General features: G+C 49.2%; 1 protein-coding gene across 46 annotated transcripts in view, besides 8 other annotated features; it reads left to right on the top strand.

The window, feature by feature from the left end:
- KDM2B (lysine demethylase 2B) overlaps positions 1–23,760 on the top strand; it is a 173,819-nt gene that overhangs the window by 74,294 nt on the left and 75,765 nt on the right. For all 46 annotated transcript variants that reach the window (XR_007063140.1, XM_047429682.1, XM_047429681.1 and 43 more), the window contains one exon: positions 13,321–13,407. Coding sequence is in view for 45 of the 46 variants with exons in the window: in XM_047429682.1 (XP_047285638.1) it covers positions 13,321–13,407 (87 nt within the window). In the remaining variant the exon portion in view is untranslated. The remainder of the gene's footprint in view (positions 1–13,320; positions 13,408–23,760) is intronic.
- Positions 4,893–5,392: an enhancer, noted in NCBI's record as "H3K4me1 hESC enhancer chr12:121940397-121940896 (GRCh37/hg19 assembly coordinates)". NCBI's record gives its function as "activates a minimal SCP1, AML or CMV promoter by ChIP-STARR-seq in naive H9 embryonic stem cells {active_cell/tissue: H9 hESC(naive)}" and the evidence as "EXISTENCE:reporter gene assay evidence [ECO:0000049][PMID:30033119]".
- Positions 6,643–7,341: an enhancer, noted in NCBI's record as "H3K27ac-H3K4me1 hESC enhancer chr12:121938448-121939146 (GRCh37/hg19 assembly coordinates)". NCBI's record gives its function as "activates a minimal SCP1, AML or CMV promoter by ChIP-STARR-seq in naive H9 embryonic stem cells {active_cell/tissue: H9 hESC(naive)}" and the evidence as "EXISTENCE:reporter gene assay evidence [ECO:0000049][PMID:30033119]".
- Positions 7,342–8,041: an enhancer, noted in NCBI's record as "H3K27ac-H3K4me1 hESC enhancer chr12:121937748-121938447 (GRCh37/hg19 assembly coordinates)". NCBI's record gives its function as "activates a minimal SCP1, AML or CMV promoter by ChIP-STARR-seq in naive and primed H9 embryonic stem cells {active_cell/tissue: H9 hESC(naive and primed)}" and the evidence as "EXISTENCE:reporter gene assay evidence [ECO:0000049][PMID:30033119]".
- Positions 7,731–7,790: an enhancer, noted in NCBI's record as "active region_7168". NCBI's record gives its function as "activates an Ori minimal core promoter by ATAC-STARR-seq in GM12878 lymphoblastoid cells {active_cell/tissue: GM12878}" and the evidence as "EXISTENCE:reporter gene assay evidence [ECO:0000049][PMID:35858748]".
- Positions 7,821–7,880: an enhancer, noted in NCBI's record as "active region_7167". NCBI's record gives its function as "activates an Ori minimal core promoter by ATAC-STARR-seq in GM12878 lymphoblastoid cells {active_cell/tissue: GM12878}" and the evidence as "EXISTENCE:reporter gene assay evidence [ECO:0000049][PMID:35858748]".
- Positions 7,891–7,990: an enhancer, noted in NCBI's record as "active region_7166". NCBI's record gives its function as "activates an Ori minimal core promoter by ATAC-STARR-seq in GM12878 lymphoblastoid cells {active_cell/tissue: GM12878}" and the evidence as "EXISTENCE:reporter gene assay evidence [ECO:0000049][PMID:35858748]".
- Positions 16,871–17,584: an enhancer, noted in NCBI's record as "NANOG-H3K4me1 hESC enhancer chr12:121928205-121928918 (GRCh37/hg19 assembly coordinates)". NCBI's record gives its function as "activates a minimal SCP1, AML or CMV promoter by ChIP-STARR-seq in naive H9 embryonic stem cells {active_cell/tissue: H9 hESC(naive)}" and the evidence as "EXISTENCE:reporter gene assay evidence [ECO:0000049][PMID:30033119]".
- Positions 19,955–20,466: an enhancer, noted in NCBI's record as "H3K4me1 hESC enhancer chr12:121925323-121925834 (GRCh37/hg19 assembly coordinates)". NCBI's record gives its function as "activates a minimal SCP1, AML or CMV promoter by ChIP-STARR-seq in primed H9 embryonic stem cells {active_cell/tissue: H9 hESC(primed)}" and the evidence as "EXISTENCE:reporter gene assay evidence [ECO:0000049][PMID:30033119]".

Here is a 23,760-nt window from a genome sequence, read left to right as displayed (position 1 = left end):
AGGCTGGAATGCAGTGGTGCGAGCTTGGCTCCCTGCAGCCTCGACCTCCCAGGCTCAAGTGATCCTTCTGCCTCAGCCTCCCAAGTAGCTGGGACTACAGGTGCATGCCACCATGCTCGGCTAATTTTTAATTTTTTTGTAGAGATGGGGTCTCACCACATTGCCCAGGCTGGTCTCAAACTACTGAGCTCAAGCGATCCTCCCACCTCAGCTTCCCAAGGTGCTGGGATTACAGGCATGAGCCACTGTGCCTGGCCTAGCCTATTTTTGCCTTTAAAAGCATCTTTGTGTCTGTGATCTATTTCTGTGTGGTGTCGCTGGTTCTGGGAACAGATGTCCTCCTAGGGATGAAACTTGGCTCCTCCTATCCCTCGCCTCTACCTACCTGATTGGCCTGAGGCTGGACTTACCTTAGACCCTTTGATGATGTAGAGGAGGCCTGGGGTAGGGGTTAGAAAAAGCGCAAGCAGCGCAGACTTCCTCCTTCCCCACAGGGGAATCACGGGCAGCTCGTGATAATATGAAATGAGGCATCTCAATGACTTGGTGCTGTTGGGTGTGTTTTCCTTGTACAAACACATTGAAACCTTCCAACAACCCTTTGGAGTACTTTTATTTTTTTGAGATGAAGTCTTGCTCTGTCGCCCAGGCTGAAGTGCAGTGACATGATCTTGGTTCACTGCAACCTCTGCCTCCCGGGTTCAAGTGATTGTCCTACCCCTGCCTCCCGAGTAGCTGGGACCATAGGCATGCCACAACCCCTGGCTAATTTTTTTGTAATTTTTGTAGAGATGGGGTCTCCCATGTTGCCCACGCTGTCTTTTTTGTATAACCTAGTCACTTAGCTCATTTATTGAACTTAGCTGTCTTTTTTTTTTTTTTTTTTCTTGAGACAGAGTCTCGCTCTGTCGCCCAGGCTGGAGTGCAGTGGCGTGATCTCGGCTTACTGCAAGCTCCACCTCCCGGGTTCACACCATTCTCCTGCCTCAGCCTCCCGAGTAGCTGGGACTACAGGTGCCCGCCACCTCGCCGGGCTAATTTTTTTTTTTGAGATGGAGTTTCACTCTTGATGCCCAGGCTGGAGTGCAATGGCACAATCTCGGCTCACTACAACCTCCACCTCTGGGGTTCAAGTGATTCTCCTGCCTCAGCCTCCCTAGTAGCTGGGATTACAGGCATGCGCCACCACACCCGGCTATTTTGTATTTTTAGTAGAGATGGGTTTTCTTCATGTTGGTCAGGCTGGTCTTGAACTCCCTACCTCAGGTGATTCGCCCGCCTCGGCCTCCCAAAGTGCTGGGATTACAGGTGTGAGCCACCGCGCCTGGTCTTTTGTATCTTTTTTAGTAGAGATGGGGGTTTCACCGTGTTGGCCAGGATGGTCTTGATCCCCTGACTTTGTGATCCGCCTGCCTCGGCCTCCCCAGAACTTACCTGTCTTTAGAGATATTTAGTTTAGCCTTGTCTAATGAGGCTCTTTTCAGGCTGAAGAGCTTGTAAATTAGGTGGACAGGCCTCCTGAGGGTTCCATGAAAATTGGGACCGCTGCTAGTGTCTCTAAATGTTGTGTGGCCAGATGCTTGCCTGGGGGACGTGGGTGCCATCACCTCTTCCAGAACAGGAGAGTTTCTGATTAGTCTGACAGGCATTAGCCCCTCACTCTCCCTGGAGACCCAGAAAAGATTTTGAGGCCTGCTGCAGTGGCTCACACCTGTAATCCTAACATTTTGGAAGGCCGATCACACGAGCCCAGGAGTTTGAGACCAGCCTGGGCAACATAGTAAGACCCTATCTGTACAAAAACAAAAATTAGCCAGGTGTGGTGGTGTGCGCCTGTAGCCCCAGCTGCTCAAGGGGCTGAGGCAGGAGGATCACTTGAGCCCAGGAGTTCTAGGCTACAGTGAACTATGAGTGCGCCACTGCACTCCAGCCTGGGAGACAGAACAAGACCCTGTCTCAAATAAATAAAAAAGCAAACAAAAAAACGATTTTGAACCCAGGACTGACTTTCAGGGTGGGAGTGCTGCCACAGAGGGTGGGCAGCCTGTTCTCCCCAGATGTACGCTCTGTCGCCTTGTTCTCTCTTTTCTGTTGTTGAGGATTCTTTTGCTTTGGCCAAGAAATAAAAAACAGCTCAGGAATATGGGTCTGAGACAATTCATAGCCGATGCCCAGTTCCCCCACTGCCATTGAGGGATTCGTGTTTCTGGGCTGTGGTGGTTTCCTGTTGATGACTGACCTGCTAGGATCTTTGGCTTGTGTTCCAGAAAGATGGGCTCTCTCCCGGGACCTCAGAGGCTGCTGCTTGTGGTGGCTCAGGGTAACTAGTGCCCTGGTGATTGGAGACAGCCCCCAATTCAACTCAGTCCCTAGATGGCTAGGTTTTGGCTTATACTAAAAACCCATTTGTTCTTTCATTTGTGTGATTTTGTTGTTGTTTTTAAATTTTGAGACAGAGTCTTACTCTGTCACCAAGGCTAGAGTGCAGTGGCATGATCACAGCTTTTTTGTAGAGACAGAGGTCTCGCTGTGTTGCCCAGGCTCATCTTGAGCCCCTGGGCTCAGGTGGTTGGACAGCCTCGTGTGATGTATTTTTTAAATTATGGTAAGACACACGTAACACAATTTACCATTTTAACCATGTTAAGGTGTCCAAGTCAGTGGCATTAGGTACAGTCACAATTTTTTTTTTTTTTTTTTGAGATGCAATCTCACTCTGTTGCCCAGGCTGGAGTGCAGTGATGTGATCTCAGCTTACTGCAACCTCTGCCTCCTGGGTTCAAGCGATTCTCGTGCCTCAGCCTCCCGAGTAGCTGGAATTACAGGCATGTGCTACCACACCTGGCTGATTTTTTTTTTTTTTTTTTTTGAGACAGAGTCTTGCTCTGTTGCCCAGGCTGGAGTGCAGTGGCGTGATCTCGGCTCACTGCAAGCTCTGCCTCCCGGGTTCACGCCATTCTCCTGCCTCAGCCTCCTGAGTAGCTGGGACTACAGGCGCCTGCCACAACGCCCAGCTAATTTTTTTGTATTTTTAGTAGAGACGGGGTTTCACCATGTTAGCTAGGATGGTCTCGATCTCCTGACCTCGTGATCCACCCGCCTTGGCCTCCCATAGTGCTGGGATTACAGGCGTGAGCCACCGCGCTCGGTGGCTAATTTTTATATTTTAAGTAGAGATGGGGTTTCATCACATTGGCCAGGCCTCAGGTAATCTTGGCTTGGCCTCCTGAAATGCTGGGATTACAGGCATGAGCCACCGCCCCGGCCAACAATTCACAATCGTGTGCAACCACCACCACTATCTTATTCCAGAACCTTTTTATCACTGTGGACAGTCCCATACCTAAGAGCTGCCACGTCCCATACCCTCTTCACTGCGAATCTGCTTTCTGTCCCGTGGATTTACTTATTCTAGATATTTCATTGTAACGTAGGTTTTGGTTTTTTTTTGAGATGGGGGTCTCACTCTGTCACCCAGCCTGGAGTACAGTGGCACAATCATAGCTCACTGCAGCCTCAACCCCCCAGGCTCAAGCAATCCTCCCATCTCAGCTTCCCAAGTAGCTGGGACTACAGGCATATGCCACTACTCCCAGTTAATTTTTTCATTATTTGTAGAGACTACGTCTTGCTATGTTGCTTATGCCTGTAATGCCAGCAGTTTGGGAGACCGAGGCAGGAGGACTGGTTGAGCCCAGGAGTCTGAGACTGACTTTGGCAACATAGCAAGATCCTATGTCTATAAAAAATAAAAAATTAGCCATGTATAGTGGTGTGCACCTCTACCTGGGAGACTGTACAGCGTTAGAGGGCTGAGGCAGGAGGATCATTTGAGCCCAGGAGGTGGAGGCTACAGTGAATTGTGATTGCATCAGACAGAGACCCTGTCTCAACATAAATGATAAATATAGACACTTACTGTGATGGAAGTGCCAAGATATTGGCCTGTATGAGATGGGAAAGACAAGAACTCAGGACAGAGGAGACCCTGGAGTTCAAGTTTGGTTTCTGCTCTTAGCTACTCGCTGTGTGGCCTTGGGCAAGCCAGTCCGCCTTTCTGTTCACCTGTATGGAAAATGAGGATGTGCTTTGTCCTTCTGGGGACCAGATTCTGGGACTCTTATGGCCATTCTGAAGCACTTACCCTTGGGTGAAACTGCAGTGTCCTCACTATGATATGGGCATAACAGCAGGGACCTGTGTCACTGAATTACTTTAAGGAACAAGGAAGCCATGAACATAGGTTGCAGCTAAAGGTGAGCCAGGCTGGCTTTGGCCAGCTACCCACACTTCCCCTGCCCTTTCTCTTTCCTTCCCCCTTCTCACCTCTCAGCAGCCCCCTCATCCCCCCTCCAAGTTAAAGATTGCTGTTTAGGCTGTGCACAGTGACTCACACCTGTAATCCCAGCCCTTTGGGAGGCCAAAGTGGGAGGGTGGCTGGAGCTCAGGAGTTTGAGGCCACCCTGGGCAACATAGTGAGACCCCAGTCTACAAAAACAAAACAAAACAAAACAAAAGGAACAAAAAATTAGCCAGGAGTAGTGGCATGCGCCTGTAGTCCCAGCTACTTGAAAGGCTGATGCAGGAGGATTTACTGAGCCTAGGAGTTTGAGGCTGCAGTGAGCTGTGATGGCACCACTGTACTCCAGCCTTGGTGACAGAGCCAGACCCTGTCTCAAAAAAGAAAAAAAAAAAACAAAACACCACAGCCCGGGCGCAGTGACTCACGCCTGTAATCCTAGCACTTTGGGAGGCCAAGGCAGGTGGATCACCTGAGGTCAGAAGTTCGAGACTAGCTTGGCAAACATGGCAAAACCCCATCTCTACTAAAAATACAAAGATTAGTTGGGCGTGATGGCGCACGCCTGTAGGCCCAGCTACTAGAGAGACTGAGGCAGGAGAATCACTTGAACCTGGGAGGTGGAGGTTGCAGTGAGCTGAGATTGCGCCATTGCACCCTAGCCTGGGTGACAAGAGCAAAACTCTGCTCAAAAAAAAAAAAAAACCCACAAAAAAACCTGATTTCCTTTTTTAAAAAAAAAATTTTATTTTTTTTACCAAGATGGAGTCTTTTGCTCTGTCACCGAGGCTGGAGAGCAGTGGCACAGTAACAGCTCTCCATAGCCTCGACCTCCTAGCTCAGGTGATCGAGGTAGCTGGGACTACAGGCATGCGATACCATGCTCAGTTCATTTAAGTTTTTTTTTTTTTTTTTTTTTTTTTTTGGTAGAGATGGGGGTCTCGCTCTGCTGCCCAGGCTGGTCTCGAACTCCTTGGCTCAAGCAATCCATCTACCTCAGCCTCTCAAACTGCTGGGATTACAGGTGTGAACCACCTCATCCAGCCAGGTGATACCTTTTTTTTTGAGTCCGAGTCTCTCTCTGTTGCCCAGGCTGGACTGCAGTGGTGTGATCTTGGCTCATTGCAACCTCCGCCTCCTCGGTTCAAGTGATTCTCCTGCCTCAGCTTCCCAAGTAGCTGGGATTACAGGCATGCGCCACCACGCCCAGCTAATTCTTGTATTTTAATAGAGGTGGGGTTTCGCCATGTTGGCCAGGCTGGTCTCGAACTCCTGGCCTCAAGCAATCTGCCTATCTCGGCCTCCCCAGGTGCTGGGATTACAGGTGTGAGCCACTGTGTGGCCAGGTGTTCTTTGAAGACCAAAAGTTCTGCATTAGACCGAATCCCTGTGCCATCTGTAAACCAGCCGAATGCTCTTGAGGAATGCAGTAAAATGGAGTACTTGGAATACAGCATCATGGTCATGAGGACTCCGTGAGGTGACACTTTAGCACAGGGCCTTTAATAGCTCAGCAAACTAGAGCCAAAAATTTCAGACACCATAGAATGAAAACAGGCCGGTGCAGGGTCAAATGTGCGAGCCTGTGAAACCCATGACTGTGGAAGGTGTTCACAGCTTTTTTCTCTTGAGGTCGTCAGTTCCCGACCCTGGAACACACCTGTTCATTGATGCGGCCTCTTCTGGGTCTTACTGACATGTAGAACAGTGAGGTGTAAAGCCCAGATCACCAGCGCAGTTGGCTTTTTAAAATCATCACACTCTCGGCTAGGCACGGTGGCTCACGCCTATCATCTCAGCACTTTGGGAGGCCGAGGCGGGCGGATCATGAGGTCAGGAGTTCGAGACCAGCCTGGCCAACATAGTGAAACCCCATCTCTACTAAAAATACAAAAAAATTAGCAGGGCATGGTGGTGCGTGCCTGTAATCACAGCTACTCTGGAGGCTGAGGCAGGAGAATCGCTTGAACCCAGGAGGCGGAGGTTGCAGTGAGCTGAGGTTGTGCCACTGCACTCCAGCCTGGGCGACAGAGCAAGACTCTGTCTCAAAAAACAAACAAACAAAAAACAACAACAAAAAATACCAAGTATGTTATTTAATAGTCCTGGGGGGCCAGAAGTCAGAAATAAAAGAGTCAGCGGGGCTCTGCTCGCTCCAAAGTCTCTAGAAGAGAATCCTTCCGGGCCTCCTCTGGTTTCTGGCAGCTCTTGGTATTCCTTGGATGTGGCTGCATCACTCCAGTCTCTGCCTTCATTTTCTTTTCTTATTTTTGGTCTTTGTATTTATTTTATTTATTTTTTTGAAGACAGAGTCTTGCTCTGTGGCACAGGCTGGATGGAGTGCAGTGACGTGATCTTGGCTTGCTGCAACATCCGCCTCCCGGGTTCAAGCAATTCTCGTGCCTCAGCCTCCCAAGTAGCTGGGATTGCAGGCAGGTGCCACCACACCCATCTGCCTTCATTTTCTTGTAGATTTCTTCTTTGTGTCTCTGTCCAAATCTCTCTTATTATAAAGACACTTGACATTGGGTTTAGGGTCTACCCTAAATTCAGGATTATTTCACCTTGAAAATAAATTTTTTTTTGAGATGGAATCTTGCTCTGTTGCCCAGGCTGGAGTTCAATGGTGTGATCTCGCCTCACCACAACCCCCGCCTCCTGGGTTCCAGCAATTCTCCTGCCTCATCCTCCTGAGTAGCTGGGACTATGGGCATGTGCCGCCATGCCTGGCTAATTTTTGTGTTTTCAGTAGAGACAGGGTCTCACCATGTTGACCAGGCTGGTCTCGAACTCTTTGCCTCAAGTGATCCGCCCGCCTCGGCCTCCCAAAGTGCTGGGATTACAGGCGGGAGCCACTGTGCCTGGCCTGAACACATATTTTTTGGGACACAATTCAAGCTACTTCAGATGGGTTTTCACAGACGGTGGGGCTGGGATGGAGGGAGGGTACTTGAGAGACCCCAGGTGCGTTGATGCCTGGTGGGTCTCTTTCCCCATAGAAGGGGGCACCCCGGAGGGTGCTGGTTCCCCAGAGCAGGAGTTCCCCAAGCTGCGCCTCCCTTTGCCGGCCTGTGGATGGCGATTCTTCCCTGATGCCTGCCTTGTTTTCACAGTGGGATATTTTTAGTCATGGCATGGAGGGAGTTTCTGATTATTAAAGCCCCAGCCTAGGAAGCAGTGGGACCCGAATCCATTGTTAACTAATTATCTCTTTGAGAGAAGTTGGCATAAAGGGCCGCCCAGGCCCAGCCATCCCTTGTCTGTGGTTATCTCGTCAGGTCCAGTACGGGGCAGTTTCCCGCAGAAAGGGTCCCACGGTTGGATCTTTCTCTTCGAAAACCTGCCCTGGACTTTCGGAGGGGACGGGCGTGTAAGGTGTAACCCTTAGGGGGCTGAGCTGGTGAGGGCACCCAGCCTTCCTTATATCTGTGCTGCCGAGAGCCCCAGGGAGTGTATAAATTCAAGCAGGGCCTAGGGAAGCCAGTGACATGATTCCCTCCAGCACAACCTATTTCTCAGAGATGAAATCTCCAATTAGAATAATCTTCTTTTCCCGGAGCCTGTCATACACAAATGAAAATTCTTCCCTGAGGGACAGAGCCCAGGGCGCCCCCTGGTGGCCGCAGGGGGGCCACACACAGAGGGAAACGGGAGGTATGAGTGTGAGATCCTGGGCTCAGGGCACTTGGGGAAAATTCTTTTTATTTTTAATTATTATTAAATAATTATTTTTTTTTGAGTTAGAGTCCCATTCTGTCACCCAGGCTAGAGTGCAGTGGTGCGATCTTGGCTCACTGTAACCTCTGCCTCCGGGTTCAAGTGATTCTCCTGCCTCAGTCTCCCGAGCAGCTAAGACCACAGACGCGTGCCACCATGCCTGGCTAATTTTTTTGTAGTTTTAATAGAGATGGGGTTTCACTATGTTGGACAGGCTTGTCTTGAACTCCTGACCTCAGGTGATTTGTCCACCTTGGCCTCTCAAAGTGCTGGAATTACAGGCGTGAGCCACCACACCTGGCCATTATTATTATTTAGAGACAGAGTCTCCTACTTTTGCCCAGGTTGGAGTGTAGTTGTGTGATCATAGCTCACTGCAGCCTCGAACTCCTGGGCTCAAGCAATCCTCCCACCTCAATCTCCCCAAGAAGCTAGGACTACAGGTGCACACCACCATGCCCAGCTAATTTTTAAATTTTTTTTGTAGAGATGGGATCTCGCTGTGTTTCCCAGGCTTACCAAGAACAATTGTAATTAAAAAAATTATTGGCCGGGTGTGGTGGCTCACGCCTATAATCCTAGCACTTTGGGAGGCCGAGGTGGGTGGATCGCCTGAGGTCAGCAGTTCAAGACCAGCCTGGCCAACATGGTGAAACCTGTCTCTACTAAAAAAAAAAAAAAAGATACAAAAATTAGCTGGGCATGGTGGTGTGTGCCTGTAATCCCAGCTCCCCAGGAGGCTGAGGCAGGGAGTCGGTGGAACTGGGGAGGTAGAGGCTGCAGTGAGCTAAGATTGTGCCACTGCACTCTAGCCTGGGCGACAGAGCAAGATTCCATCTCAAAAAAAAAAAAAAAAAATTTATTGACTGGATGTGGTGGCTCACACCTGTAATCCCAGCACTTTAGTAGGCCAGAGGATCAGTTGACCGTAGGAATTTGAGACCAACCTGGGCAACATAGCAAGAACCTGTCTCTACTAAAAAATTAAAAAATTAGTCGGTCGTGGTGGTGCATTCTTTTCCCAGTTACTTGGGAGGCTGAGGTGGGAGAATTGCTTGAGCCCAGGAGTTCGAGGCTGTGGTGAGCTGTGATCACACCGCAGCACTCAAGCCTGGGCAACTCTCTGTTTTTTTAAAAGAGTCTTTAAAAATGTATTATTTATTATTATTAATTTGTTAATTATGTCTAGTACTTAGAACTGCAGTAATAACTTTTTGTAACTAAATATCCCTCTAAAGAGGCCTCTACCTCAATGCTTGTGAGTTAGACTCCAATCTGATATTGAAATGACAAGAAATCGTAAGACATTTAAGAAGGAAACTCAAAGAAAACAAAGGGGGGTGGGCATTACTTTCAGTCATATGCAGAGCCATCTTTGCAAATTGGTGGCCCATGGGCCAAACCAGCACACAGATGTTTCACTCACAGTGGGTTTTTTAAAGTTTTAGTTAGTTGTTAACATTTAAAAATGCAGAGATTTCAAATAAAACTCTGCATCTTTGATTTCTTCTGAAAAATTAAAGATCTGGTGGGCTTTTCATCCCCATAGGAGGTAAGCTGGAGTTGGGTAGCCTTGCCCCTTTTTAAATGGGCCATGTGTTTTCCAGTTTGTCACAGGCCTCACCGTTCCCTATTGTTCCAGTCCGGTTACATCTTGAATTTGTTACCCAATCCTAGAGTTTGGGATTGGACTAAGTGGCTGAAATGTCCTGTGGAAGTGACGGTCTTCTCCCCCAGCCATTTGGGGCCCACATGCAGGGGGGAATGGGAGGTCTCTGGCTAAACCTGAGTGTATTTCTGGAAAGCTCATTTGTTCTTAATGATTTTTTAGAAAGAGGGAAAAACTTTATTTATTTATTTATTTATTTATTTTGAGACAAAGTCTTACTCTGTTTCTCAGACTGGAGTGCAGTGGCATGGTCTCGGCCCGCTACAACCTCTGCCTACTGGGTTCAAGTGATCCTCCTACCTCAGCTTCCCAGGTCGCTGGGACCACAGGCACACACCACCACATCTGGCTAATTTTTGTAGTTTTAGTAGTGATGGGGTTTCTCCATGTTGATCAGGATGGTCTAACTCCTGGCCTCAAGTGATCCACCCGCCTTGGCCTCCCAAAGTGCTGGGATTACAGGCGTGAGCCACCGCAACTGGCCAGAGTTAAACCATTTTTACTTTTTTTTCTGTTCTAGGATCCCACCCAAGGTACAATATTACATTTAGTCTCATCAGTCTTCTCTTAGCTGCCATAGTTTCTTAGACTTTCCTTGTTTTGATGACCTTGACAGTTTTGAGGAGATCTGTTCAGGCATTTTGTAGACTGTCCCTCTTTTAGTATTTGTGGCTTTATTTTATAAAAACTCTGGGGCCAGGTGCGGTGGCTCACACCTGTAATCCCAGCACTTTGGGAGGCCGAGGCGGGTGGATCACTTGAGGCTAGGAGTTTGAGACCAGCCTGGCCAACATGGTGAAACCCTGTCTCTACTAAAAATAACAAAAATTAGCCAGGGGTGGTGGCACACGCCTGTAATCCTAGCTACTCAGGAGGCTGAGGCAGGAGACTCGCTTGAACCTGGGAGGCAGAGGTTGCAGTGAACCAAGATGGTGCCACTGCACTCCAGCCTGGGTGACAGAGTAACACTCCATCTCAAAAAACAAACAAACAAACAAAACCCAACTTTGTTTATTGGAAGCTTACTCTAGGTTAGTCATTATGTGAGGCTTTGAGGATATAGCAGTGAATAAAGACACTTTATAAATAGCATTTACAAATCATTGACATTGACTATGGGACTTTGGGGAAGCTGTATGTGCCGGGGCTGGGATTTAAACCCCTGGAGCCAGTTCTAGAGCCAACATTCTTGACCACTGTGCTGTTTGCTGTTTCCTGTGGGCTAAGGAGGAAGTTCTTCAGGTTAACAGCCACATCTTGAAAAATCACTCAAAAAAAAAAAAAGAAAAATCATGCAAGCAAATTATGATCAGGAAAGTATGATAGGCGTGCAGTGGCTCACACCTGCAATCCCAGAACTTTGGGAGGCTCACACCTATAATCCCAGCACTTTGGGGGGCTCACACCTGCAATCCCAGCACTTTGGGGGGCTCACACCTATAATCCCAGCACTTTGGGGGGCTCACACCTGCAATCCCAGCACTTTGGGAGGCTCACACTCGCAATCCCAGCACTTTGGGGGGCTCACATCCGCACTCCCAGCACTTTGGGGGGCTGAGGCAGGTGTTTTGCTTGAGCCCAGAAATTCAAGACCAGCCTGTGCAACATGGTGAGAACCCATCTGTACAAATAATACAATTAGCTGGGCTTGGTGTTACGCACTTGTAGTCCCGGCTACTGAGGAGGCTGAGGTGGGAGGATCACTTGAGCCCAGGAGTTTGAGGCTACAGTGAGCTGAGATTGTGCCCCTGCACTCCAGCCTGGGTGACAGTCACACCCTGTCTCAAAAAAAAAAAAAAAAAAAAAGGACAATGAGCAGAGTAAACTGGAAGTAAGCTGGAGTCATTTCTAGTGAAGTGAATTAGGAAAGGTGAATTAAAATAATCTTCACCTTCATTTGTCTCCTGAGCGCTTCTGCTCTTCCTGCTCAGTGCTTCTGTATGATTTACTCTGTTCTTAAATGTCCGGAAAAAATGTTTTTGTACAATTCAACAATCCGTGGTCCAGGATCAGAATGGGCCAGTGATAGTTCTGTGTGTGCTTAAACACATTTTTTTGTGGGGTGCTGTGGATGTGTGGATGTAGCCAAAAAAAACCCTATGTGGGTGGTCCTGGGGCAGAAAGTCTGGTGCCAGAGAGTGGGGTTCTGGGGGTCTGTCTTCATAGTTTGGGGTAGCACTAAAATCCTGTGAGCCTTTCTGGGCCTTGGTAACCTCCCCTGTAAGTTAGCTGTTAGATAATTCAGCTGGGTAGCATTTTATACCTGGATGATGTTCTAAAGTCCAGCCACACAAGGCCAAAGTCTGGCAGAGTGAGAATTCCCTTTGAAGAACCTTCAAACTGCTCACCGAGAGTGAACACAGTGTGCCTCGTGGGAGATCGCCAAGCAGCCTGGCAGTCCGTCCAACGCAGCCCATTTTTCTGCCACAATTTGGCCACGTGACTCCATCCTCAGTCAGACCAGATCAAGCATCTTCTTGTATTTAGGGCCCATGTTGCAAAAAACATTTACACGTCGTCACACAGCAGGGTTAGGGTACATGTAGCAAGCTGACTAAAGGACGGAGTCATGGCTCTATGAAGGCATCAAGGTCTGGAGGTTGGTTTTGTTTGCTTCGCTGAGTACGTAGTTAAATTTGTGAACATTAGAGGATCCGTAGTGCCACCGCCCAGCCCTCCCAGAGTGCTTGGTAGGAATTAAATGAGGCACAGTGGCTTACCCCTGTAATCCCAGCATTTTGGTAGGCTAAGGAGGGAGGATTCCTCGAGGCCAGGAGTTTGAGACAAGCTTGGGCAACATGGCATATACCCTGTCTGCACAAAAAAATTTAAAAATTATGGCTGGGCGTGTTGGCTCACGCCTGTAATCCCAGCACTTTGGGAGGCCAAGGCAGGTGGGTCACTTGAGGTCAGGAGTTGGAGACTAGCCTGGCCAACATGGCAAAATCCTGTCTGTACTAAAAATACAAAAATTAGCCCAGCGTGGTGGTGCACACCTGCATTCACAGCTACTCGGGAGGCTGGGGCAGGGAAATCGCTTGAACCCAAGAGGCAGAAGTTGCTTGAGCCCAGATTGCGCCACTGAACTCCAGCCTGGGTGACAGAGTAAGACTTTGTCTAAAAAAAAAAAAAAAATTTAGCCAGGGAGGGTGCCATGCACCTGTGGTCTCAGCTACTTAGGAGGCTAAGGCATGAGGATCACTTGATCCAGGTGGTCAAGGATGTAGTGAGCTATGATTATACAACTGCACTCCGGCCTGGGTGACAGAGCAAGATTCTGTCTCAAAAAAAAAAAAAAAAGAAAAAGTTTGTGTGTGAGTCCCCGACGCTCTGGACAAGTGCTAGATGTCATAACTGTGATCATGGGTGATACATACGTGGAAGTCACAGGGAGGTATGTGATTTGCTTTGTTAAAGAAATTTTGTAGAGGGCAGAGGGGAACGTTGTGTGTTTCGTGGGCCCCAGGGGACCCTAGTGACTTGGTTTCTATTGAATGTGTGGGTGGTGGTGGAGTCAATGGCCAGGCGCTGACTTTGTGGAGTGTGATCCTTGCTGGACTATGTCTGCTGTTCAGCTGTCTTCAGAGACCTCCCCTTCCCCCTGGGCTAATATGGATGCTTTGTTTGGCCACAGAACGTCCTGAAGGAGCACGCAGATGATGACCCTAGTCTGGCCATCACTGGGGTCCCTGTGGTGACTTGGCCAAAGAAGACTCCAAAGGTAAGACGCAGCCTGCCTGCAGCGGGCGGCCGCTTCCCACCTCCTTCCCACCTCCTGTAGGGTGAACAGCCGCGACTTTTTGGGTAGCTATGGGGCCTCCTGAGATGAAGGCACCGCAGTTAAGATGAAGGATTTTGGTGATTTGTTCCATGTTTTTGTTTTTAAAAGGGGGTTGCTTTACCTAGCTGTGGGAACTGCGAACAGTGCCGCCTGGTGGTCACTTGGAAAACTGGGGGGTGCTGACACCTCGCCTTTCCCTGTGGTTAGGTGGATTTTCTGTCTCTCCTTCCCTCACTCCCTTGCTTCTTCCCTTCCTTTTCCCTTTTCCTTTAATTGCTTCATGGGCTGTCTTCTCCTCTTTTGAAAGGAACTTTTTCTCAGTGTGTAAAACTGGTTGATGCTCAACATAAAAATGTCTAATCGGTCGAGCGCGGTGGCTCACGCCATAATCTCAGCATTTTGGGAAGTCTAGGCGGGTGGATCACCTGAGGTCAGGAGTTCGAGACCAGCCTGGCCAACATGGCAAAACCCCGTCTCTACTAAAAATACAAAAAATGCGAGCATGGTGGTGCACACATGTGGTCCCAGCTACTTGGGAGGCTGAGGCAGGAGAATCACTTGAACCTGGGAGGTGGAGGTTGCAGTGATCAGAGACTGCACCACTGCACTCCAGTCTGGGCTACAAAGTGAGACTCTATCTCAAAAAATAAAATAAAATAAAATAAAAAAAAAATGTCTAATCAAACGGGAAAGGACCAGGACATGAGGAAGAGGAATAATGGCTGTATTGTTGAGGACTTTGTAGGAGCAGTTTGTTGTCTGGACCTCCACAGCCCTTATCTTATTTACGCTTCAGCAACTCTGTGGGGTAGACAGTTGTGACTGTCATTTTACAGATGAGGAAACTGAGGCTTGAAAAGGTCAAGTCACCCGTTAGGACAGCCAAGTACACAAAGATCGGTCAGTTTGGCAGCAGAGGCCAAATTTTCATCCAGTGCTCACCTCAAAGTCCACCATCCAGAGAAAACAGTTTTGGTGAGCACCCTTCCAAAGGCGGTCCTAGGTGGGATACATATGTATCAGGTCATCTCTGTACCATCCGTCTGCCTCCACGCAGCTTCACTACTTCCTTGGACAAGTTACATAGTGTCCTGAGCCTTACTTTCCTTGATTATAAAGATGGGTTATACCAAGACTTTCTTCAGTGGTTGTCAGAACTAAATGAGATAAGGCATGCAAAACCCTTCAGACAAGGGCTGACCTGAGGTTAGTGCACTCTAAATATTATTTGTGACTTCAGTAGCCCCAAGAGGTATTTTGTTAATTTCTGATTTTTTTGGGGTTTTTTTTGGCTATTGTAAAAAACACTGAAGCCAGGCATGGTGGCTTATGCCTGTTGTTCCAGCTACTCCAGAAGCTGAGGGGGGAGGATCACCTGAGCCCAGGAGTTCAAGATCAACCTGGGTAACATAATGAGAACTCATCTCTACCAAAAAAAAAAAAAAAAAAAAAAAAAAAAGCCAGGCATGATAGTGCATGCCTGTAGTCCCAGCTATTTGGGAGGCTTAAGCAGGAGGATCGCTTGAGCCCAGGAGCTTGAGGCTGCAGTGAGCTGTGATTGCACCACTGCACTTCAGTCTGGGCAACAGATTGAGACCCTGTCTCAAAACAAAAAGGAGAAAGAAAGAAAAAAGTATGCTGTAACAGATTTCAAACACTTTTCTTTTTCTTTTTTTTTCTTTTTTTTTTGAGACGGAGTTTTGCTCTTGTCACCCAGGCTGGAGTGCAGTGGCGTGATCTCGGCTCACTGCATCCTCCGCCTCCGGAGTTCAAGCGATTCTCCTGCCTCAGTCTCCTGAGTAGCTGGGATTACAGGCACCCGCCACCATGCCCAGCTAATTTTTTGTATTTTTAGTAGAGACAGAGTTTTGCCATGTTGGGCAGTCTGGTCAATTTCAAACACTTATTACAGGCCTGGTGCAGTGGCTCTCGCCTGTAATCCCAGTACTTTGAGAGGCCAAGGTGGGCAGATCACTTGAGGTCAGGAGTTCGAGACTAGCCTGGCCAACATGGCGAAACTCCGTCTCTACTAAAAATACAAAAATTAACTGGGCATGGTGGCACGCGCCTGTAATCCCAGCTACTCAGGAGGCTGAGGCAAGAGAATTGCTTGAACCTGGGAGGTGGAGGTTGCAGTGAGCTGAGATGGCGCCACTGCACTTCAGCCTGGGGATGCACTATAGTTTTATTTGCTAAATCTGGCAACTGTAGTTGAAATGACTATATTTTTGATATATTGTTGAAACAAAATGGATTATTCCGATGAATTTCATTGTTTCTTTTTACCTTTTCAAATGTGGCAACAAAAAAACTCAAAAGTACCTATGTGGCTCACCTTCTATTTCTTTTATTTATTTATTTACACAGAGTCTTAACTCTGTTGCCCAGGCTGGAGTGCAGTGGTGCAATCATAGGTCACTGCAACCTCTGCCTCCCTGGATCAAGCGATCCTCCCATCTTAGCCTCCCGAGTAGCTGGGACCACAGGCACATGCCATCACGCCTGGCTAGTTTTTTGTAGTTTTGGTAGAGATGAGGTTTTGCCATGTTGCCAAGGCTGAACTCCTGAGCTCAAGCAAGCCGCCTGCCTCGGTCTCCCAAAGTGTTGTGATTACAGGCGTGAGCCACAGTGCCTGACTTACCTTCTGTTATTTCTATTGAGCAGTGCTCTTCTGCATAATTCTTTGATTATCTTCTTCAGGTGTACTTTTTTTTTTTTTTTTTTTGAGATGGAATCTTGCTCTTGTCACCAGGCTGGAGTGCAGTGGTGCAATCTCGGCTCACTGCCACCTCCGCTTCCTGGGTTCAAGTGATGCTCTTGCCTCAGCCTCCCGAATAGCTGGGATTACAGGCGCGTACCACCACGCCCGGCAAATTTTTTGTATTTTTAGTAGAGACGGGGTTTCACCATGTTGGCCAGGCTGATCTTGAACTCCTGACCTTAGGTGATGTGCCCACCTCGGCCTCCCAAAGTGCTGGAATTAAAGGCGTGAGCCACCATGCCCGGTCATAAATAAATATTTTAAAAATAAGGAAGTAAATAACTTCAGAGCCACAAAATGGTGTGAAGCAGAAGAAGAATGAATACCCCAGGTCCACCACCGAGCCCTGAAAATAAATGACCACCAGCTCAGCTGAAACTCCTGGGCACTCCCCAGTATACACAGCAGCTTCCAGATGCAGTTTGTCTATTTGACTTTACCCTTCCCATGAGGCTGGGAGATGGAGGGTGTTATCGCCCCAGTGCAGTTGAGGAAGCACAGAGCTCGGAGAGGTGCAGCAGTGCCTCTCGGGCCACTTCCTTAGGAGAAGAAAGGCGTTGGACCCCAGATGTGCAGGTTTCTGTCATTGCACAGTGAGGAACCAGTGATATGTGGCGGGGAGAGTGGGGAGGGAGGCCCCTGCTATGTTTATGCATTTCCTGGCTGGTGGGGTTAAAAAGTTAACAGGAAAGGAAGAAGTAACTAAACGACTGACTGCCTGGGCTGCCCGGGGTCTCTGGGTTCCCAGGTTGCAGCTTCCTCCCATTGGATGCAGGTTGGGGTGAAAGATCAAGGGTGCTCACTGAGGCCCTCAGGATGCGAGGTAGGGAGTGGTATTTGATCTGGGTCGGGTTACCTAACAAGTAATTAATGCTAAGTGATGATTAGCAAGAAATGCTTTGATCTCCCACCTTGCCTCCAGGAGAACAAAGCCCTTTTCTGGAACTGATTAGGTGCTGTGAGGTCATTTCTGATGCGGTGTCCTTCATATCCAAGATGCTACTGAGCCACCATCTATCACCATCCACCCGACTGGCTGTTTCCACGAGTGGTGTAGGATTTGTTTTGATCTGTCTACACTCTGGCTGCTTCCTTTTATGACCAACGGGCAGGATGGTGGGGGCCTGTCTGTGACCTTACAGGCTGGGTGAAGGAACGGAGCTTATTTGAGGCCCAGCCTCTGACCTCGGCCTTATTAGTGAGCTGACCCCTGGCTCAGCTGCCAGACATGGCTACTGGCTGGCTTGCTGGTTTATTCCCAGAGGAAGAAACTGAGGAAGGACGGAGGACCCAGCCATGACTGCCTCTGGCTAGCAAGCCAGCCTGTGGACCCTGCCAGCTTCTTCATCCATTATCTCTAGTGGCCAAACCAGGCTGCCACTTGAATTTCAATTATTGGCAATTTTTCTGGAGTATGGGAGCAGAGAGGCTGGAGTGTGGAGGACAAGCACCCTGATGGGGGCATGGAGACAGTCCTCATCAGTAGCTGTTGGATCAGCTTCCTTACGGGGACATTTTGGGGCCACACAGGAGCCACAGGAGGAAGCAACACACCCTCGATGCCTTGTGACCTTTGCTTCTGCTTTGTCTCTCTCCCCTTTCCTCCGAAGTTGGTCCGTTCCATCCCAGAGGCCTGCTCCGTCTGGGGTCCCTCCGGAGTGACACACAGCCTTTCCCTGAAGGAGAGGCACGTGATTCAGTGAGAGAGGCCCCGAGTGCTTCCGGCGGGTCCCTGCCCCGCTCTCAGTCCTGTCGGCCCGCAGTCATGAAGCTGATGCTGTGCAGTTGAGGCGGAGGAGGCTGGCAATAATGGCTGTCGTGTATTGCCACCTACTCAGGGTCCTGTAATTTCCCAGGAAGGCCGTGTGCTGTAATGAGGACCAGTCCCCAGGCTGGTGGCATCAGCTTCACCTGGGGGACTTGTGAAAAAATACAGCTTCCTGGCCCCCGCACTTGACGTAGCACATTGAGTAGGCTTGGGGTGGGCCTGGGATCTGCACTTTCTGAAAGCTGCTCAGGGCCAGGCGTGGTGGCTCACACCTATAATGCCAGCACTTCGGGAGGCTGAGGCAGGTGGATCACTTGAGGCCAGGAGTTCGAGACCAGCCTCACTAACATGGTAAAACCCCATCTCTACTAAAAATACAAAAATTAGCCAGATATGGTGGCAGGCGCCTGTAGTCCCAGATACTTGGGAGGCTGAGGCAGGAGAATCACTTGAACCTGTGAGGCGGAGGTTGCAGTGAGCTGAGATTGCATCACTGTACTCCAGCCTGGGTGACAGAGTGAGTCTTGGTCTCATTAAAAAATAAAAGCTTCTCAGGGGCGGGTGCGGTGGCTCACGCCTGTAGTCTCAGCACTTTGGGAGGCCCAGGCTGGAGGATCACTTAAGCCCAGGAGCTGCAGGCTGCAGTGACCTATGATCACTCCACTGCACCCCAGCCTGGGTGACAGAGTGTGATTCTGTCTCAAAAATAAATAAATAAATAAAATAAATAAAATAAATAAAACCCGGCCGGGCGCAGTGGCTCACACCTGTAATCCCAGCCCTTTGGGAGGCCGAGTTGGGCACATCACTTCAGGTCAGGAGTTCAAGACCAGCCTGGCCAACATGGTGAAACACCATCTTTACTAAAAATACCAAAAAAGAGGCCAGGCATGGTGGCTCATACCTGTAATTGCAGCACTTTGGGAGGCTGAGGTGGGCGGATCACCTGAGGTCGGGAGTTCAAGACCAGCCTGACCAACATGGAGAAACCCTCTCTCTTCTAAAAAATACAAAACTATCTGGCGTGGTGGTGTACGCCTGTAATCCCAGCTACTCGAGAGGCTCAGGCAGGAAGGAGAATTGCTTGAACCCAGGAGGCAGAGGTTGCAGTGAGCCAAGATCGCGCCATTGCACTCCAGCCTGGGCAACAAGAGCGAAACTCCGTCTCAAAACAAACAAACAAACAAAAAACCAAAAAAAATTAGCCAGGCCTGGTGGTGGGCACCTGTAATCCCAGCTACTCGGAAGGGTGAGGCAGGAGAATTGCTTGAACCTGGGAGGCGGAGGTTTCAGTGAGCTGAGATCATGCCACTGCACTCCAGCCTGGGCAACAGAGCAAGACTCCATCTTGGGAAACAAAAACCAATACATAAATACAAATGAATAAATAAAAGCTTCCCAGGTCATTCTCTGCACTACTCGGATGCATTTTTGGGGTCAGATGCACCTGTGGGTGGACTCCTTCCTTCACCACTGACTAGCTGTGTTGTCTTGGGCAAGTCTCAGCCTCAGTTTACTCATCTGTGAAAGGTGCTAACAGCGCCTTTCTTGCGGGCCTGTGGTGAGATGCTGTCTGTAAAATGCCTTTAGAGTGGGCCATCAATCAGTGTTTGCTAGTCTAGTTTTTCGTAATTATGGTTTAAAAGTAACCCTGAATCTGCCCACCCAGAAGGCTTTTGATGTTCTTGATAGAAATCGAGGACACGAGAGGAGGAGCAGGGAGCAGCGGAAGGGGCTGAATGGTTTAGAGGCATTTCCCATCCCAAAATTATCATTTGCTTGTGCAAAACTTAATCTCAAGCAAGGACCTGAATGACTTAATTTCTTTGCAATAGTTATGGCTGTGCTGAAATGGGCTGGCACTTCCTGGGGGTTTGGGAGTGGGGACTGATTTAAGAAGCTGCTTTAGCTAGGTAGGATGGCTCACGCCTATAATCCCAGCACTTTGGGAGGCTGAGGCGGGCGGGTCAGTTGAGGTCAGGAGTTCGAGACTAGCCTGGCCAACATGGTGAAACCCTGCCTGTACTGAAAATACAAAAAATTAGCCGGGCATGGTGGCGCATACCTGTAATACCAGCTACTCAGGAGGCTGACGCAGTACAATCACTTGAACCTGGGAGGCGGAGCTTGCAGTGAGCCGAGATCGCGACACCGTGCCACAGGGCAAGACCCTGTCTCAAAAAAAAAAAAAAAAAAGAAGCTGCTTCTCCTTTATCTCTTCCTCCTCCTAGACGGGAGGAGTCCTAGGCTCTTTGGAGGGGAGTGATGGTTTGCCTGAGAATGTGCCCCTGGGGGTTTGAGGCCACTGAGACCATGGGGTTCTCTACTGGGTCAGGGTAGGAGGAGAGGGTGTCAAAGGCCAAGGGTGTCAGATGTCCAGTGCTGAGGGCACGACGGGTCTGGTGAAAGGCTTGTGGGAGAGCAGCTCCCCAAGAGGAAGAGCGCAGCTCAACATGCTGGGAGGAGGCTGCGATGGAAGCCGCAGGGCCAGGATGAGGGTCCCAGGAGAGCAAAGAAAGGCAGGAGAATCAAGTTGATCCTTGGAGGGTTGGTGAGGGGAACCACGCGAAGAGAAACCTGGGCCTCCGATCTGGAATCCCAAACGTGTTCCTCCTGACGTCTGAGTCATTTATGGAGTCTGGAGTCTGGCAGATTCTTGGGAGGTCCATAAAAACCTCCAATCAACGAATGCCCACAGAGAATGTTCTGCTGCTTCTAAATAATGTTGTAGACAACATCAACAGCAGAAAAATCCCGTTGAGAGAAAAATATGGGTGGCAAAAGGATGCCCCAGTTCTTTCGTTCTTTCTTTCTTTCCTTCTTTTGTTTCTTTCCTTTCTCTTTTGTTTGACACAAGGTCTTGCTCTGTTGCCCAGGCTGGAGTACAAGTGGTGTGATCATAGCTCACTGCAGTCTCCACCTCCTGGGCTCAAGCGATCCTCCCACCTCAGCCTCCTGAGTAGCTGGGACCACAGGCATGCGCCGCCACACCCAACTGATTTTGTTTATTTTTTGTATCGGGGGGGTCTCACTATGTTGCTCATGCTGGAGTGCAGTGGCTCAATCATAGTTCACTGTAGCCTCACACTGCTGGGCTTAAGAGATCATTCCACCTCAGCCTCCTGAGTAGCTGAGACTGCAGGTGTGCACCCCCATGCTTGGCTTTGTGATGATGATGATTATGATTATGATTATTATTATTGGAGACAGATTCTCACTGTGTCACCCAGGCTGGAGTGCAGTGGTGCAACCTTGGCTCAGTACCAACCTCCGCCTCCTGGGCTCAGGTAATTCTCCTGCCTCAGCCTCCCGAGTAGCTGGGATTATAGGCACCTGCTACCACTCCTGGCTAATTTTGTATTTTTAGTAGAGACAGGGTTTCACCGTATTGGCCAGGCTGGTCTCAAATTCCTGACCTCATGTGCTCTGCCTGCCTTGGTATTTCAAAGTGTGGGGATTACAAGAGTGAGCCACTGCACCCGGTCTGTGATTTTTATTAATTATGGTAAAATGCCGGGCGCAGTGGCTCACGCCTGTAATCTCAGCACTTTGGGAGGCTGAGGTGGGTGGATCACAAGGTCAAGAGTTCAAGACCAGCCTGGCCAAGATGATGAAACCCCGTTTCCCCTAAAAAAAAAAAAAAAAAAAAAAAAAAAGGAGTTCGAAACCAGCCTGATCAACAAGGTGAAACCCTGTCTACTAAAAATACAAAAATTAGCCGGGCATGGTGGTGGGCACCTGTAATCCCAGCTACTCAGGAGTCTGAGGCAGGAGAATAGCTTGAACCCGGGAGGTGGAGGTTGCAGTGAGCCGAGATTGTGCCACTGAACTCCAGCCTGGCAAAGGAGCAAGACTCCATCTCAAAAAAAAAAAAATGTGGTAAAATATATGTTGCATAAAAGTTACCATTTCAGGCAGGGCATGGTGGCTCACGCCTGTAATTCCAGCACTTTGGGAGGCTGAGGTGGGTGGATCACTTGAGATCAGGAGTTCGAGATCAGCCTGGCAAACATGGTGAAACCCTGTCTGTACTAAAAATACAAAAATTAGCCAGGTGTGGTGGCGCATGCCTGTAATCCCAGCTATTCAGGAGGCAGAGGCAGGAGAATTGTATGAACCCAGGAGGTGGAGGTTGCAATGAGCCGAGATCACGCCACTGCACTCCAACCTGGGTGACAAAGCAAGACTCCATCTCAAAAAAAAAAAAAGTTATCATTTCAACTATTTTTACCTGCGTAGTTGAGTGGCGTTATTATTATTGAACGTGTTGTGCAGCCATCACCACCCACCATCTCCAGGACCCTTTCATCACCCCAAACAGAAGCCCCGGAACCCTGGCCCTGTTTAACACTCACCCCCCGTTCTCCCCTCCCACTGCCCCCCGACGGAAAGTTTTTGAAGACAGAATAGTGTGAAGTTGGGACAGTTGGTGAGGGCGAGGCCATCAAGGAGGCTATTGCTGAAGGTCTCATAACAGTGGATCAGTTTAGCGTAGTGACTGTGGCAACGAAGAGGTTGGATCCCAGATATATTTGGGAGGCAGCACTGATAGGACAATCGGATGCTTCTACTGCTGGTTTGAGGGGAGGTGTCAGGGATGGCCCCTAGGTGTTGAATTTACAGGGCGACTTCGGGTTAGTGTCCTCTTTCTGGAAACCCGATCACAGAATGATTTTCAACATCCTCAAACTGGTGTCACCCATTTGCCACCAGGCTTAGTCCCTTCTAGTCTCCCAGCTGTCAAAGTAACCTCCTGAAGTTTAGACCCCATCACAGCACTCCCTTGTGTATTAGTCGACTAGGGCTTCATAACAAAGGCTCATGACAGAAACGTACCGCCTCATAGTTCTGGAGGCCAGAAGTCCAAGGTCAGGGTGTCAGCAGGCAGGTTCCATCTGGGGCTGTGGGAGGATCTGCTTCAGGCCTCTCTCCTTGGCTTGTAGGTAGCTGTGGTCTCCCTGGGTCTTCACCTCATCTTCCCTGTGTAAGGGTCTGTGCCCAGATTTCCTCATTTTATAAGGACAACAATCATATGGGTGCTAGGGGCTCGGATTTCAACATATGAATTTTGGGGTTGGATACAGTCAGCCCCCAACCCTTGTTATCAATCGTTCAGTGATTCTCCATCTTCTTTATTTATTTTTATTTTTTAAAGTTTTTTTTCTATTTTCTGAGACAGGGTCTTGCTCTGTTGCCCAGGCTGGAGTGCAGTGTCGCAATCACAGCTCACTGCAGCCTCGACCTCCCGGGCTCAAGGGATCCTCCCACCTCAGCCTCCCAAGTAGCTGGGACCACAGGTGTGCACCATCATGCCCAGCTAAATTTTGTTTTTTTTGTAGAGATGGGGTCTTACTCTGTTGCTCAGATTGGTCTTGACCTCCTGGGCCCAAGTGATCCTCCCACCTTGACCTCCCAAAGTGCTAGGACTACAGGCGTGAGCCACCATGTCCGGCCTCCATCTTCGTTAAAAGCCTCTCCCGGCTTGTCAGCCTGGCCTTGAGTGCCCAAGTCGCCATCTGTCGCTGTGCCGTAGACTCTCCTGACTTCCTCTCATCTTCCTTTCATTGCTGGGGAACCAAATTCCTCCATGATTTCCTTGGACCAGTCCACCTCTGTCTTTGCTTACACTCCTTCCTTCTCGGAGTGCCCTTTTCCCCATTTCTCCCATGTAGAAATCCTCTCCATGCCAGCCCCAACCCAGTTCCCTCCTCACCAGGGAGCCTCCTGAGCTGACGCGTTCCAGTTGCACCTCAGCCCCTCCCCA

Source organism: Homo sapiens, chromosome 12 (genome assembly GCF_000001405.40).
Source record: "Homo sapiens chromosome 12, GRCh38.p14 Primary Assembly".
Classification (NCBI taxonomy): domain Eukaryota; kingdom Metazoa; phylum Chordata; class Mammalia; order Primates; family Hominidae; genus Homo; species Homo sapiens.
This window is presented reverse-complemented; position numbering and strand designations above follow the sequence as displayed.